At 43.7% G+C, this 17,476-nt stretch overlaps 1 annotated feature.

The window, feature by feature from the left end:
• Positions 14,801-15,300: an enhancer, noted in NCBI's record as "H3K4me1 hESC enhancer chr1:226942001-226942500 (GRCh37/hg19 assembly coordinates)". NCBI's record gives its function as "activates a minimal SCP1, AML or CMV promoter by ChIP-STARR-seq in primed H9 embryonic stem cells {active_cell/tissue: H9 hESC(primed)}" and the evidence as "EXISTENCE:reporter gene assay evidence [ECO:0000049][PMID:30033119]".

Raw genomic sequence — 17,476 nt, forward strand, 5'->3', positions numbered from 1 at the left:
CTATTGCTTGGCAAGACGAGGGAGGGAAACACTTAAAAAAAAGTTTCCATTGTTAGCTAACAACAACAAAAAAGGCTTTTAACTTCTGCGGTTTAAAGATATACAATTCATTTTCCACCCCTCAATCGAGGCTTGCTGATGTGTCTAGCTTTATGAAACTATTTTTGAAAAATGTTTTTAATAAAGTTTTGAGTGTATGTCTTAAACAAAGCAAATCATGGGGACCTTTTTAGCATTTAAAAAAGGCTACAATCCTGTATAAACAGTTTGTGTTCTTGTACACAGTTCTGCAAATTCAAAGAAGGTACATTGAGGTCACCTTCCTGCAGAGTTGCAGGTTTTAAGTGCATCACAGTAGTATTTTGGAAGACTGGTTGGTCTATGAGCTGGGGATGGTTTTGCAGTGCAATTGGTAGATATATAAATACACCTTTACATGTCACATTTATTTATAAATGCACACGGCACATGTGACATTCGCATATTTTTGCACTTAATTCTCAGAATTATTTTAAGAAAAAGCATAGTCCTGAAACTAAGAAGGCTTGGGTAACGTCTGAAACCCCTCTTGCTCCTGTAGACCCTTGTAGACTGTCTCCTGTAGACTGGATCATTTTCAAGAAACTTTCTCCCCTACTATCAGCAAAAAAGGGAGAAAGAACATCAGCCAACATTACTGGGCAGGGGATCCTACCCCTTCTAAGCCCTGGCACTGCCAGTGTGTTTTACATAATTCTCTAAATCTTAAACTACAGCATTTAGTGAAAGGAGGGAAAACACAGCTGCACGGCTCAGGAGACTGAAACATCCAAAGCCTGAATTGGTCCTTATATCATGATTAGCTGAAATTCAGATGGAAATTTTGACTTTACTTGTAGCACACAGATCTCTTGCTTGTTTATGTAACAATACTGTTAAGTGAGCAAAGCAACCTGCTGCTCCATCAGGAAGAGGCTCATGCTAAATCTGAAATCAAGAGATCTTCTAGCCAAGAATACCTGAGAATCACACACTGTTGAAAACTTTATAATTTTTAAAAATTAGAAATGGAAGAATTGAACCTAATTACCCTCCTACCCTCAATGGGGCTTTTTTAAAAAAAAGCCCAATCCCAGAACTTTGGGAGGCCAAGGCAGGCAGATCACAAGGTCAGGAGTTCGAGACCAGCCTAACCAACATGGTGAAACCCTGTCTTTACTAAAAATACAAAAATTAGTAGGTCGTGGTGGTGCGCTCCTGTAATCCCAGCTACTTGGGTGGCTGCTGAGGCAGGAGAATCGCTTGAACCCAGGAGGTGGAGGTTGCAATGAGCCAAGATCTCACCACTGCACTCCAGCCTGAGCGACAGAGTGAGACTCCATCTAAAAAAAAAAAAAAAAAAAAAAAAAAAGAGCCCAGAGTTATTCAGGTCTCTGAGCAGTTATTCAGGATCTGAGCAGTTCCTAAGAAAGAGAAGCCAGCCCTCTCCTTGACCCTAATTTGGTTCCCTAGGGGCAAAAAAGAGGAGTTGCCAGTTTTCAGGAGACCCAGTCATTGGAGTTCATGTCTGAGGGGCCTTTGTTCTAGTAGAGGCCAATACCCATGTCAGGTGTCATGGTGGAAGAAACTGAAGGACCTAGCAATGCATACATTAAGCACAGACACTTAGCTTCCCAATCCCTGGGAAACCTCACTGCCACCTCACAGCCTGACATCATCAGGCTTCCGTAGCTGAGAAACTTAGACTTCTTGAATGTGCAGTCAACCTGAAGAATTATTGGTCAGAACGCAGCCAGCAGCTGTCAGGTGTGACATGCAGAAGGGGTTTCTGCCTTGGGCTCGAGGTGGGGCTAGCTGATGATTCTACCAGTCTAAAATTCTAACTGTGCCACCAAGAGCAACAGGGGTTGGGGAAAAGATGGAATAAAACCCATGTCTGGAAGCTAGCATAGTGAGCTTGCATCCTGAGAGAGAATCTAGTTGTCTTCCATGATTGTAAATGAACATGAGAAGAATATTTTACATAGTACTTATTTGCGAGACACTGTTCTAGACACATTATAAATATTTATACATTTTTATCCTCATTAAAAACCCTACGAGGCAGGCATCATTATTATCCTTATTCTACAGATGAGAAAATGAAAGCGCAAATGGGTGAGTAGTTTGTCCCCAAATTCCATTGCTGGTAAGTGGCAAAACCAGGATTTGAACCTGTGTAATCTGGGTCTAGAATCCATGCTTGTCACTACTTCTGCATATTGTATAGTTATTATCTATAACCATAGGGAAGGTGTGCCTAACTTTTCAGTTTTCTCTATAACTGTAGGGAAGATTTGCCTAACTATTCAGAGTACCCATTTGTCTGCTTTTGAAATTGAAGTTAAAAAATCAAAGCTATGAAACTAAGAATAAAAGGAAACTTCCTCAACTTGATAAACAGCATCTGCGAAAAACCTAAAGTTAATATCATACTTAATGATGAAGTACTAAACACTTACCACTAAAATTAGGAAAAATGGCCAGGCGCAGTGGCTCATGCTTGTAATCCTAGCACTTTGGGAGGCTGAGGCGGGTGGATCACTTGAGGTCAGGAGTTCAGGACCAGCCTGGCCAACATGGTGAAACCCTGTCTCTACTGAAAATACAACAATTAGCCAGGCGTGGTGGCACGCACCTGTAGTCCCAGCTACTCAGGAGGCTGAGGCAGGAGAATCACTTGAACCCGGGAGGCAGAGGTTGCAGTGAGCCAAGATAGCACCACTGCACTCCAGCCTGGGCAACAGAGTGAGACTTCATCTCAAAAAATAATAATAAAATGAAACAAAATTAGGAATAAGGTTAGCATGCCTGCTCTCACCATTTTTATTTAACACTGTACTTGAAGTCCTAGACAGTGCAATAAGACAAGGAAAAGGAATAAAAAGGCATCAAATTGGAAAGGAAGAAGTAAAACTATTTATTTAGATTATATAATTGTCTATGTGGAAAATCTTGGGTCTATGAAAAAGCTATTAGAACTAATAAGTGAGTTTAGTAAATGTATTAGTTTGCCAGGCTGCCATAATAAAGTACCTCACACTGGTTGGCTTACAACAGAAATTCTGTTTACAACAGAAATTTATCTTCTCACAATTCTGGTGACTAAGAATAGTTTCAGTCTGTAGATCAAGCTGTTGCAGGGCCAGTTTCTTCTGAGGCCTCTCTCCTTGGCTTGCAGATAAATCTCTCTCTTTTTTTTTTTTTTTTTTTGAGACGGAGTCTCACTCTGTCGCCCAGGCTGGAGTGCTATGGCGTGATCTCAGCTCACTGCAACCTCTGCCTCCCGGGTTCAAGCAATTCTCCTGCCTCAGCCTCCCAAGTAGCTGGGACTACAGGCACCCGACACCACGCCTGGCTAATTTTTGTATTTTTAGTAGAAACGGGGTTTCACCATATTGGCCAGGCTGGTCTCAAACTCCTGACCTTGTGATCTGCCTTCCTCGGTCTCCCAAAGTGCTGGGATTACAGGCGTGAGCCACCATGTCCAGCCGATAAATCTCTATGTATCTTTATATGGTCTTCTCTCTATATAGGTTTATGTCCTAATCTCCTCTTCCTATAAGGACACCAGTCATATTGGATTATGGCCCATCCTAATGACTTCATTTAACCTTAATTACCTTTTTAAAGACCCTACCTCCAAATAGTCATATTCTGTGACATCATGGGTTAGGACTTCAACATATAAATATGGGGGGAAACACAATTCAGCCCATAATAGCAAGGTTGCAGAATACATGATTAATATACCAAAATCAATTGTATTTCTATATACTACCAATAAATAATCAGAAATTTTAAAAAATCAAATAATAATATCTTTACAATAACATCAAAAACTATGAAACACTTAGAGATAAACATGACAAAACATTTGAAGATCTATAATGAGAAAATTATAAATCACTACTGGAAAAAAAAAGACCCAAGTAAATGAAGAGATATACCATGTTCATGAATTGGAGGACTCAATATTGTTACAATGTCAGTTCTTCCTCAAATTTATCTGTAGATTCAATGCAATCACAGTCAGTATTTCAGCAGGTTTTTGTTTTTGTTTATTTTGTTTTGTTTTTATTTTCTAAACTTCATAGGGAAATGCAAAAGATCTAGAATGACCAAAACAACTTTGAAAAAGAATGCAGTGGGAGGACTAACACTATCTCATGTCAAGACTTATTATAAAGCTACGGTAATCAAGATAGTGTGGCATTGGCATAAAGTTCAAAAAATAGATCAATAGGACAAAATAGTCCAGAAATAGACCCATGTATATATGGACAATTGATTTTTGACACAAGTGCAGAAAAAGTGGAGAAGTCTTTTAACAAATAGTGCCATAACAATTCAACATCCATATCTAAAAAGAGGAAATTCAATGAATATCTTATCAATATTGTACAAAAATTACTCAAAATGGCTCACAGATCCTAATGTAAAGCCTAAGACCAAGAAACTTTTATAAGAAACATAAGAGAAAATCTCTGGGAACTTGGGTTCCTGTTTCTTAGATATGATACCAAAATTAATTGGACTACATCAAAATTTAAAACGTCTCTTCAAGGCCAGGCACAGTGGTGCACATCTGTAATCCCAGCATTTTGGGGAGGCTGAGGCGGGCAGATCACTTGAGCTCAGGAGTTTGAGACCAGCCTAGGCAACATGGCAAAACCCCATCTCTACAAAAAAAAAAAAAAAAAAAAAAAATTAGGCCAGGCATGGTGGCTGATGCCAGTAATCCTAGCACTTTAGGAGGCAACGTGGCTCACACCTGTAATCCCAGCACTTTGGAAGGCCAAGGCAGGCAGATCACTGGAGGTCAGGATTTTGAGACCAGCCTGGCCAACATGGTGAAACCCGGTCTCTACTAAAAATACAAAAATTAGCTGGGCGTGGTGGTGAACGCCTGTAGTACCAGCTTCTCAGGAGGCTGAGGCAGGAGCATCACTTGAACCTGGGAGGCAGAGGTTGCAGTGAGCCGAGATCACACCACTGCACTCCAGCCTGGGTGACAGAGTAAGACTCTGTCTCAAAAAAAATACAAAAATTAGCTGGGCATGGTGGCACGTGCCTGTATTCCCAGCTACTCAGGAGGGTGAGGTGGGAGGATCAATTAAGCCCGGGAGGCCAAGGCTGCAGTGAGCCATGATCATGCCACTGCACTCCAGCCTAGGTGACAGAGTGAGACCTTGTGTCCACACACAAAAAAAACAGAAAACAAAACACCCCACTTCTCTTCAAAAGATACTGAAAAGAATGAAAAGACAATGCATAGACTGGGAGAAACTATATGCAAAGCATACTATTCATAGCAGCTTTATTAGAATTAGCCAAAAATTGGAAACAACTCAAAAGTTCATCAGGTGAATGGATAAACAAATTGTGGTATACAATGGAATATTATTCATTAATAAAAAAGAAATGGACATTGATGTACATACAACATGGATGAATTTCAAAAGAATTATGCTGCCTGAGAAAAATCAAACAAAAGAGAATATCTACTGTATGATTCCAAATATGGAAAATTCTAGAAAACACAAACTCATCTATAGTAACAGAAAAAAGACTGGGTGGCTGCCTGAACATGGAGGCTGTGGAGAGGGGCAGGAAGTAGGAAAGATGAAGGGACATGTAGGACATTGTGAAAGTAATGGATACGTCCACTGTCTTAATTGCAAGGATGATTTTATGGGTGTATACATACATGAAAACATATAACACTGTAAAACATTAAATATGTGCAGTTTGTTGTATATCACTTATAACATAATAAAATTTTTTTTTTTTTTTTTGAGATGGAGTCTCACTCTGTCGCCCAGGCTGGAGTACAACAATTGCGCCATCTCGGCTCACTGCAAGCTCCGCCTCCCGGATTCACGCCATTCTCCTGCCTCAGCCTCCGGAGTAGCTGGGACTACAGGCGCCCGCCACCATGCCAGGCTAATTTTTTCTATTTTTGGTAGAGATGGGGTTTCACCATGTTAGCCAGGATGGTCTCGATTTTCTGACCTCGTGATCCGCCCACCTCGGCCTCCCAAAGTGCTGGGATTACAGGCCAGAATTTTTTTTTTTTTTTTTTTTTTGAGACATGGTCTTGCCCTTGTCGCCCAGGCTGGAGTGCAATGGTGCGATCTCAGCTCACTGCAACCTCTGCCTCCCGGGTTCAAGTGATTCTCCTACCTCAGCCTCCCAAGTAGCTGGGATTACAGACAACCGCCATCATGCCTGGCTAATTTTTGTATTTTTAGTAGAGACGGGGTTTCACCATGTTGGCCAGGCTGGTCTTGAACTCCTGACCTCAGGTGATCCGCCTGCCTTGGCCTCCCAAAGTTCTGGGATTACAGGTATGAGCCACTGTGCTCAGCCAATAAAGATATTTTTAAAAACATAGCTATGGATGGATATAGCCTTTGATGAGGATATTATGGGCCCCATTCCTAGTGTCAAGCACAGTGCTTGACATATAATCTCTCTTCTGGGTGAAACGTTCTGGGTAAGTTGTTCATTTTTTCATTCACATGTTTCATGGAATAACTATGTGTCCCCTTTTTTCAAATATAACTTTGTTAAATTATCACAATCGTTCCAGCTGTCGCATCTATCCTGCAATATCATCCTCTTAGGAATCCTCCTCTGATGGCCCAGCCTGAAATGACCTCCTCCTCCTCACATGTGGAGACTCTGTATCAGCACCCTTCACTCAGCATCCCTCCTTCTGCCTCGCACTGTTAGTAAGCTTTTCATGCTCTCTCCCATAAGGTCCTTGAAGGCAGAGAGCAGCTATGGCTTTTCTATGAACAACCCCCACCTCCCCTGGCCACTTAATACCTTGTCTTACATATATTTATTCATGATTAATTCCTTAGTCATTAAAAATACTATTTTTTAAAAGACAGACTTATTTATGTAAACATATACATACACAAACACAGTCTTGCTACCCTCTGCCACTACTCATGAGGCATATGGTCCGGAAGAGCAAAATGAAAACAGCAAATGTTATGATTCTAGATTGATACAGAAAAGAGAAAGTCCATTTTTACGTTCCCTATACACCTGAGCTTTAGCCCTAGTTTCATGGCTTCCTGGGTATACTTCACTGTTATAACAGCTTATTCTTCATGTATTCATTCATTCATCAAACGCTTACTAAACCCTTCCCTAACTCCATGCTATGTTATAATGTGCTACCTTTTGTCTCCTCCTCTTTGAGGACTTAGTCCCATTTGCATCTGCTATGTCTGGTGTAGGGAAGGTATTTGATCATATTTATTGAAAGGTCTTTGTCCCCAACTCAGGCACGAGCAACAGAAGCATTTTCTGCCTCTCCTAAATCCAGACGCTGCTTTGTGGTGGGACTGGAAGGAGAATACCAAGCTGATTAGGATGATTTCTGCAGCAAAGTGTAAGATACTTATAGGTATGTTCCATTTACATGTGGATATTGAAACAATTATCTAGTTTCAAACTGACTTTTCCAGCCATCTAAACAACAGATTGGGTTGGCTCTGTTGCAAATCTATTAATAAGTTATGCACAGAGACTCAAAATCCATAGAATAGCCATGATCTGAGCCAGTGGTATAAATATATGTATTCACTCAGCATCAAAAATGTATATATACATTTTTTCATTGTCTGTAAACAACCATAAACTGATAAGAGATGGACTGAAAAAATGCGATCCTGCTTTTCCTACCTAAATGTGACTTAGCTAACTTAAACACTCATGTTGAAATGTTGTGTCAAGCCCAGGTGCAGTGCATTAGCACTTTGGGAGGCCAAAGTAGGAAGTTTGCTTGACGCCAGGAGTTCAAGACCAGCCTAGGCAACATAGCGAGACCCTGTCTGTACAAAAATTTAAAAATTAGCCAGGCATGATGGCGTGCACCTGTAGTCTCAGCTACTTGGGAGGCTGAGGCAGGAGGATCACTTGAGCCCAGGAGTTGAAGCTGCAAAAAGCCATGATTGCACCACTGCACTCCAGCCTGAGTGACAGAGTGAGACCCTATCTCAAAAGAAAAGAAAAGAAAAGAAAAGAAAAGGAATGTGGTGTCAAGACTTTGTTTTAATTGAAACCAAGTCATTTGCTGTCAGTTTAAGATGCTGACTCTATATGGCTTTGCACTAAACCTCTTCTCCAGGGATCCCCTCCTACACACTGAAAAGGCTGCCTTTGCTTTAAATCCTAAAGAATGAAGCGTGGGCCGGGCATAGTGGCTCCCACCTGTAATCTCAGCACTTTGGGAGGCCGAGGCGGGCAGATCACCTGAGGTCAGGAGTTCAAGACCAGCCTGGCTAACACGGTGAAACCCCGTCTCTACTAACAATACAAAAATTAGCCGGGCGTAGTGGCAGGTGCCTGTAATCCCAGATACTCAGGAGGCTGAGGCAGGAGAATCGCTTGAACCCGGGAGGCGGAGCTTGCAGTGAGCGAGATCACGCCACTGTACTCCAGCCTGGGTGACAGAGCAAGACTCTGTCTCAAAAATAAATAAATAAATAAATAAATAAATAAATAAATAAATAAATAAAAATAAAGAGTGAAAGGTGAGGAGCGGCCTTAGCACCTTTCTCTGGATAACTGGATTTGTATGACATCTGCGGACCCTTAGGACAAAAATAATTGGTGAGAAAGAGCATTGGAAACGCGTGAGTTACAGGACATTCACAAAATGTTTTCTCTGAGGTTTTGATACAGTGGGCCTTGTGTTTGAATAGCCTCCATTAGGAAGTTTAGGAGAGCCAGAGAAGGACTTTGAGTCAACCTTGATCCATCATTTAAGACTTTAGGAATGAAAAGAAAGTGTTAAGTTTACGTGCTTGGTGTGTAAGAACAGAGTCTCAGAAAAGGTCACCATCTAATGTTCTAACATAGAATAGACGGCTGTCTTTGGTAGAAGAGGGAAGTTTCTCATGCCTCCCATTTCTCCTTTCCCTTACAACAAAGGGACAGCACCAGCAACAAGAGATTATATCTATACTGGTTGCAAACCACACTCAGTCCATGCTTCAGGTGTCTACAGAACTTCTGCTGGTACCCACTAACGCAGCCTACCTCACTGCTGTTTAACCCATGAGCATCTCATTTCAGCTTTGGGTATCATTAACGCCATTCATTTACTCTTTAAACTATGACTGGGTTTTCTAGGCAAGGGGAGAGGGAAGAGAAGGATATGAAGAGGAGTTGTACTCATCTTTAAAGTACTCACAGACTAGAAGGGGAACCAAGTGTTAAAATAGTTATAATTATTTTTATTTTTATGTGATATATGGTATAATAGCACTCAAATGACCAAGAGAGAACAGTGGTAGGGGTGGCCTTGGGCTAGGGGAGGAGATGGGAAGGCTTCAGGAAATGGTTATCTTTTGGTGGACTGTAAAGGATGAGTAGGAGTTCACCAGGAAAAGAAGAGAGTCTTCTAGGCAGAGGCACAGCAATCACAAGTCCCTTGACCCATGGAAGAGCAGGTTTGAGGAGTGTTGAGTCCATGTGGCCAGAGTATATGGTGGTGGTGAGTGGGGGGCAATGGGGGGGGAGAAGAGCCTGGAATAACAGTTTGGGGACATGTGGTGAAGTTCCTTAATTACTATGCTAATTAGCTTGGATTTTCATTAAAAATGATAGGCAGCCACTGAGGAGTTTTAGGCAGAGTGACACAATTAAATTAGCATTTTAAAAAGATATCTCTGAGGCAATACAGAGGATATATTGTAGGGGAAATAGAGACCAGGCTCAGTGGTCTCTATTACAGAGCTCCAGGGCACCGGGCCCTCAGAGATGGGTAAAACACTGCAACACAGCCCTACCTTTCAGGAGCTCGCTACTGCGGAGGGAGCATATTAATTACCTGTTGCTATCCCAAATTACCAGAAACTTAGCAGCTTGAAACAACATGTATTTATTATCTCACAGTTTCTGTAATATGCAGTGTGGTTTAGCTCAGTCCACGGCTTCAGACTACACTTAAGGTGTTGGCCAGGACTGGGCTTTATCTGATCCTCAATTGGGGAAGAATCTGCTTCCAAGATCACAGTGTTGTTGGTGAGATTCAGCAACTTGCTGGCTTTGGCCAGAAGCTTCTCTCGCTTTTTTGCCACGTGAACCTCCTCAACATGGCTACTTGCTTCATCGAAGCGTGAAAGCTTAGAAGGCAACAAAGAGTGTCTGCTGACAAGACGGAAGTTGCAATCTTATGTGACATAATCACCTCCATTGCTTAGAAGATTATAATCCTATCACCTGCGCTGCTTAGAAGCAAATCGCCGAGCCCACTCACACACGGGGCCGTGGATGCCTGCAGGCAGAAATACTTCAACCCATCTTAGAGTCTGTCTCTAAGGATAGAGACTGGTCTTGAACTCTCTCAGAATAATAAGACAAAAATAAGGTAGCTGTATTCTCCAGGGGCTATACAGTCAAAGAGAGGTTATCTGGACTGATCTGTGATTAAGGGAATACTTCCTCAAGGGGCTCAATTAGAATGCCACTACTGTGGTCCTGGAATAAGATGTTGAAGACCTGAAATTTCCCTATTCATCAGTTAATTAATTAATTATTTATTTATTTATTTTGAGATGGAGTCTTGCTCTGTCGCCAGGCTGGAGTGCAGTGGCGCCATATCGGCTCACTGCAACCTCCGCCTCCCGGGTTCAAGCGATTCCCCTGCCTCAGGGTCCCTCGTAGCTGGGACTACAGGTGTGTGTCACCACACCTGGCTAATTCTTTGTATTTTTATTAGAGATGGGGTTTCACCATGTTGGCCAGGATGGTCTCAATCTCCTGACCTCGTCATCTGCCCTCCTCAGCCTCCCAAAATGTTGGGATTACAGGCGTGAGCCACCGTGCCCGGCCTCATCAGTTAATTCTTATTATCCATTGGGTCCTTTGGTTAAGAAGTCCATGGTGGACAAAGGTTTATTTAGTTAGTCTTTTGTTTGTTTTCATTTTTGTTTTTGAGACAGTCTCGCTGCAATGCCCAGGCTGGAGTGCAGTGGCGCAATCTTAGCTCACTGCAACTTACGCCTCCCGGGTTCAAGTGATTCTCCTGCCTTAGGCTCCCAAGTAGCCGGGACTACAGGCACCTGCCACCACGCCTGGATAATTTTTGTATTTTTGGTAGAGATGGGGTTTCACCATGTGGGCCAGGCTGGTCTTGAACTCCTGACCTCAGGTGATCCACCTGCCTCGGTCTCCCAGAGTGCTGGGATTACAAGTGTGAGCCACTACACCTGGCCTGGACATGAGTTTAAATCCCAGTTCAGCCACTTAGAGCTGTGTGAACTTGGAAGTTAGGTAGCCTCTCTTCACATCAATTTCCTACTCCGCAAGATGGGGATATTGCTGCTTACCCTATAGGGATCTTGAAAGATTAAATGACATGGTGTATATGAAAGACCCTAGCATGGGCCCTGCCACATTGGAACTTAGCCAGTAACTTAGGCCACATCCTAAGCAAGACTCACGAGTGCAGAAGGACCTGGATCGAAGTTACAGGCAAAACCGGCTGTGGAAGAGCCTGGTCCTCAGGCTTCTCCTTAGAGGGCAGCCAAGACTGTCACAGACACATCCCACATCAAGGCCCGCTCAGTGGTAAAAGCAAGAGGACCTTGCATCTCCATGTTGTGGACCCTCCTTTGATTTGGTGACCACCTGATAAACACTTGCTGACCCGCCGGGACTGGGGTTCCAGGGCTACATCATCCATCTCTAGCAGCTCTCTAGGGCCCTGAAATGGAGTGTTTCCTCCCCTTCTGAGCTCTCCCCCATCATCCAGCCAATGGTTTAGCACTCGATTGCTTTTTTTTTAAAAAAAAAAAAAAAAAAAGGATCTTGCTCTGTGGCCCAGTCTGGAGTACAGTAGTGTGATCATGCCTCACTATAGACTTGAACTCCTGGGCTCCAGTGATTCTGCCGCCTCAGCCTCCTGAGTAGCTGGGACTACAGGCATGCACCACCATGTCCAGATAATTTTTTCACTTTTTTGTAGAGATGGAGTCTCCCTATGTTGCCCAGGCTGGTCTCAAACTCCTGGACTCAAGTGATACTCCCACTTCAGCCTCCCAAAATGCTGGTATTACAGGCATGAGCCACTGTGCCCAGCCTAGACTGCTTTTAAAGGTATTTATTATGTGCCCATCTCTGTGCTAAACTAAAACACCCGATTTAAACAGGTGTTAAAACAGGTGTTTTAAACAGAAGCAGGGGTGAGGGGAGGAGCTCATCTTGGGCTGAGGCTTTGTTTTTCTGTCCTAGAGGCCATGTGCTCCCTGCTAAGTTGGAGCTGAGAAGCTGGGAATAGGCTGAGATGCTCTTCCTTCACTTGTTCTCCTGAGTACAGCCTCCGTGCTTGTTGTTACATAATTTCTATTAAAATTCCTGGAAATGCAGCTAGAAGAGTAGCTCCCAAAGGAACCCTGAGGCATGAATGCTGAGGTTGAAAGCTTCCCATCTAAACTGTGTCTCCAAGTGCTGACAATGCCAACCCGACTCACATCGTCATTGGTGACAATGCCAACCCAACCAACTCACATTGTGTGCAGGATTCCCAAATGCCCAGCAGCTTCAAAAATAGACATCTTCTCCAAAGAGAGCAGACACGGTGAAAAGCACAAAGATGAATGACTTCAAATTATGAGATGCAAAGAATGCCAACTTGCTCACATTAAGGTAAGGTATAATAGGTTGTAGGAGGTTAGGAAGTCATCTATGAGGCCACCGCTTTTCCAGTGGTTCCTGCATGCCCCCACCCTGCTGTGCTTATTGCCATAAAGCATCACAGAGCACGGCCCGACAGTGGTCAGGGTGCTCAATGGCAAGCAACAGAAACTGTGTATTGCTTCTATAAGCACAAGATAAAGTTATAATAAAGATATGGGGAGCTCATAAAATCATCAAGAATACCAGAAAATCAAGCTTAGGAGATGGGGCAGGAATGGGGGAGGCTCCCCAGGTCAAATCACTCCTGAGGGTTTGTCCAGTGCCACATAAGGTGTTGTCAACACAGCTCCTGCTGCAGCACTGATACTCCTGGAACCTGGACGTGGCCATGCTGCTGGCACCATTACCACAAAGATGGCTTCTCCATGGACCTGCTTCTCTGTGTCAATGTCCAGTGGGTGTGTCTGATTGGCTGAGCTGAGGTGTGTATCCATACCCACCCCCGGAGGCTGGGGAAGCAGGCATCTCAGGCTTGGAGGCTGCTCAACTAAAGAGCCCAGAGGGTCCACTGGAGCCCCAGGGCTGACTTCCAGGCAAGTGAGCAAGTGAGTTCTCACAGCATCTTTTTCTTCTTTTTTCTTTCTTTCTTTTTCTTTTCTTTTTTTTTTTTTTTGAGATGGAGTCTCGTTCTGTTGCCCAGGCTGGAGTACAGTGTCACAATCTTGGCTCACTGCAACCTCCGCCTCCCAGGTTCAAGCGATTCTCCTACGTCAGCCTACCGAGTAGCTGGGATTACAAGTATGCGCCACCATGCCTGGCTAATTTTTGTATGTTTAATAGAGACAGGGTTTTGCCATGTTGGCAGAGCTGGCCTCAAACTCCTGACCTCAAGTGATCTGCCCGCCTCAGCCTACCAAAGTGCTGGAATTACAGGTGTTAGCCACCGTGCCCAGCCATCTTTTTCTTTAAATAATTAAAAAGTGATTAAAAACCGGGCATGGTGGCTCATGTTTGTAATCCCAGCACTTCGGGAGGCTGAGGTGGGCGGATCACCTGAGGTCAGGAGTTCAAGAGCAGCCTGGCCAACATTGCAAAACCCCGTCTCTACTAAAAATACAAAAATTAGCCTGGCGTCGTGGCGGCCACCTGCAGTCCCAGCTACTTGGGGGGCTGAGGCAGGAGAATCACTTGAACCCAAGAGGTGGAGGTTTTGCAATGAGCTGAGACTGTGCCAGTGCACTCCAGCCAGGGTGACAGAGTGAGACTCTGTCTCAAAAAAAAAAAAAAAGTGATTAAAGGTAAAAAGGGAAGAAGACAAATTCATTCAAAAAATGTTACTGAGCAGTTATATGTCAGGCAGTATTCTAGACTGTGAGGATAGAGCAGGGAGTCACACACAAGTCCTGACCTCAGAGAGGCTTCACAGTAATGGCAGATAGGGAGTAACAAGCCTGTATATGTGTGTGTGTGCGTGTGTGTGTGTCTGGTGTGTGTGATGTTGATAAGAGCCGTGGAGAACATGGAGAACAATACAGGCAGGGTAAGAGGGCCTTGGGAGTGCTAAGTTATTTTGTAGAGGTGGTCAGGGAAGACTTTCTGCCTAAGATGATGTCTGAGCAGAGATCTGAAGGATGGAAGGAGGGAGGACGTCATTCAGCCACCAGGGAAGAGTGTTACCCACAGAGGGGACAGCCAGAGTAGAGGCCCTGAGGCAGGAGCACACTTGCAGGGTCAAGGAAGCAAACAGCCATTGTGGCTGAGGCAGAGTGAGAGAAGGGAGCATTGGAGAGAATAAGGTCAGGGAGATAGTCAGGGCTTTTCCCAGGGCAAGAAGAGACACTTTTGGAAAGTTTTGAACACGGAAGTAAGATGACCTGACCCACATTTTAGAAAAAGCCCTCTGGCTGCTGGTGGAGAACAGAGGGTGGAGGGGCAAGAGAGCAGGCAGGAAAAGCATTCAGGGGGCTCCTGTGGGAGGCCAGACTGGAGGAGCAGGGGTGAGGCCAGGCGGGAGAGCAGAGGTGCTGAGAAGGAGGCAGGCTCTGGATGCATTTGAAGGTAGTCACCAGGTTTGATGCATCGGATGTTTTATACTCTTGTGCTCTCTCTGTCTCTCGCTCTGTCTCGTTCTCTCTCTCTCTCTCTCATACACACACATGCATGCGTGCATGCATATACAAGAATACCTACTTTTATTCTACTTCACAGATATTGTTTTTGACAAATTGAAGGTTTGTGACAACGCTGCTTCAAGCGAGTCTTTTTTTTTTTTTTGAGATGGAGTCTCACTCTGTTGCCCAGGCTGGAGTGCAATGGCGTGATCTCGGCTCATTGCAACCTCCGCCTCCCAGGTTCAAGCGATTCTCCTGCCTCAGCCTCCTGAGTAAGTGGGATTACAGGCACATACCACCATGCCCGGCTTATTTTTGTATTTTTAGTAGAGATGGGGTTTCACCATGTTAGCCAGGCTGGTCTTGAACTCCTGACCTCAGGTGATCTGCCCACCTCGGGCTCCCATAATGCTGGGATTACAGGCGTGAGCTACCTGTTGTTTAGTGTATCCACCTTCATCACTTATCTCAGCTGGATCTTCTGGATAACTTCCTGCTGCTTTTTCATTAGCACTTGCTGCTTCTCCTTGCACTTTTATGTTAGGAAGGTGGCTTCCTTTCTTAAACCTCACGAACCAACCTCTTTTAGTGTCTGACTTTTCTTCTGCAGCTTCCTTATCTCTCTCAGCGTTCACAGAATTAAAAAGAGTTAGGGCGGGAGCCACCACGCCCAGCCGAGCAAGTCTATCTTTGCAATTTTTCCAACAGCATGTGCTCACTTGGTGTCTCTGTGTCCCATTTTGATAATTCTTGCAATATTTCAAACTTTTTCATTAATATTATATCTGTGATGGTGATCTGTGATCAGTGATCTTGGATGTTCCTACTGTAATTGTTTTGGGGGTGCCACGAACGGCACCCATAAAAGTCAGCAAATTTAATCCATAAGTGCCGTGTGTCCTGACTGTTCCACCAACCAGTATACCCCATCTCTCTCCCTCTCCTTGGGCCTCTCTAGTCCCTGAGAAACAATAATATTGAAATCAGGCCTATTAACAACCCTACAATGGCCTCTAAGTGTTCAAGTGAAAGGAAGAGTCACACATCCCTCACTTTAACTCAAAAGCTAGAAATGATTAAGCTTAGTGAGGAAGGCAGGTAAAAAGATGAGATGGGCCAAAAGCTAGGCCTCTTGTGCCAAACGGTTAGCCAAATTGTGACTATGCAGGAAAAGTTCTTGATGAAAATTTAAAATGCTACTTGAGTGAACACACAAATAACAAGAAAGCAAAATAGTCTTACTGATGACACAGAAAAAGTATAGTGGCTGGGATAGAAGATCAAACCAGCCACAACATCCTTGTAAGCCAAAGCCTAATCCAGAGCAAGCCCCTAACTCTCTTTAATTCTGTGAATCCTGAGAGAGATGAGGAAGCTGCAGAAGAAAAGTTAGACACTAAAAGAGGTTGGTTCATGAGTTTTAAGGAAAGAAGGCACCTTCCTAACATAAAAGTGCAAGGAGAAGCAGCAAGTGCTGATGAAAAAGCAGCAGCAAGTTATCCAGAAGATCCAGCTAAGTGATGAAGGTGGATACACTAAACAACAGGTTTTCAATGTAGATGAAACAGCCTCTATTGAAAGAAATTAATAAGTAGACTTTCATAGCTAGAGGTGCAAAGTCAATGCCTGGCTTCAAGGCTTCAAAGGAGAGGCTGACTCTCTTGGCAGGAGCTAATGCAGCTGGTGACTTTAAGTTGAAGCCAGTGCTCATTTACCATTCCAAAAGTCCCAGGGCCCTTAAGAACTATGCTAAATCTACTGCCTGTGCTCTGCCAATGAAACAACCAAGTCCGGATGTCAGCACATTTGTCTACAACATGGTTTACTGAAAATTTTTTTTTTTTTTTTTTTTTTTGAGATGGAGTCTCGCTCTGTCACCCAGGCTGGAGTTCAGTGGCGAGATCGTGGCTCACTGCAAGTTCTGCTTCCCGGGTTCACGCCATTCTCCACCTCAGCCTCCCGAGTAGCAGGGACTACAAGCTCCCGCCACCATGCCTGGCTAATTTTGTTTTTGGATTTTTAGTAGAGACCAGGTTTCACCGTGTTAGCCAGGATGGTCTCAATCTCCTGACCTCGTGATCCCCCTGCCTCGGCCTCCCAAAGTGGTGGGATTACAGGCGTGAGCCACCACGCCCAGCTGGTTTACTGAATATTTTAAGCCCGCTGTTGGGACCTACTGCTCAGAAAAAAAGATTCCTTTCAAAATATTACTGCTAATTGACAATGTACCTGGTCACCCAAGAACTCTAATGGAGATGAACGAGGAGATTAACATTGTTTTCATGCCTGCTAACACAATATTCATTCTGCAGCCCATGGATCAAGGAGTAATTTTGACTTCTAAGTCTTATTATTTAAGACATACATTTTGTAAGGCAATAGCTGCCATGGGTAGTGATTTTTCTGATGGATCTTGGCAAAATAGATTGAAAACATTCTGGAAAGGATTCATTATTCTAAATGTCATTAAGGACATTCATGATTTATGGAAGGAATCAAAATATCAATGTAAAGAGAAGTTTGGAAGAAGTTGATTCCAACCCTCATGGATAACTGAGGGGTTCAAGACTTCAGTGGAGGAAGTGCCTGAAGATGTAGTAGAAATAACAAGAGAATTGCAGTTAGAAACGGAGCCTGAAGATGGGCCTGGATTGCTGCTATCTCAAGATCGAAAAACTTGA

The sequence above is a fragment of the Homo sapiens genome, chromosome 1 (genome assembly GCF_000001405.40).
Source record: "Homo sapiens chromosome 1, GRCh38.p14 Primary Assembly".
NCBI lineage: Eukaryota > Metazoa > Chordata > Mammalia > Primates > Hominidae > Homo > Homo sapiens.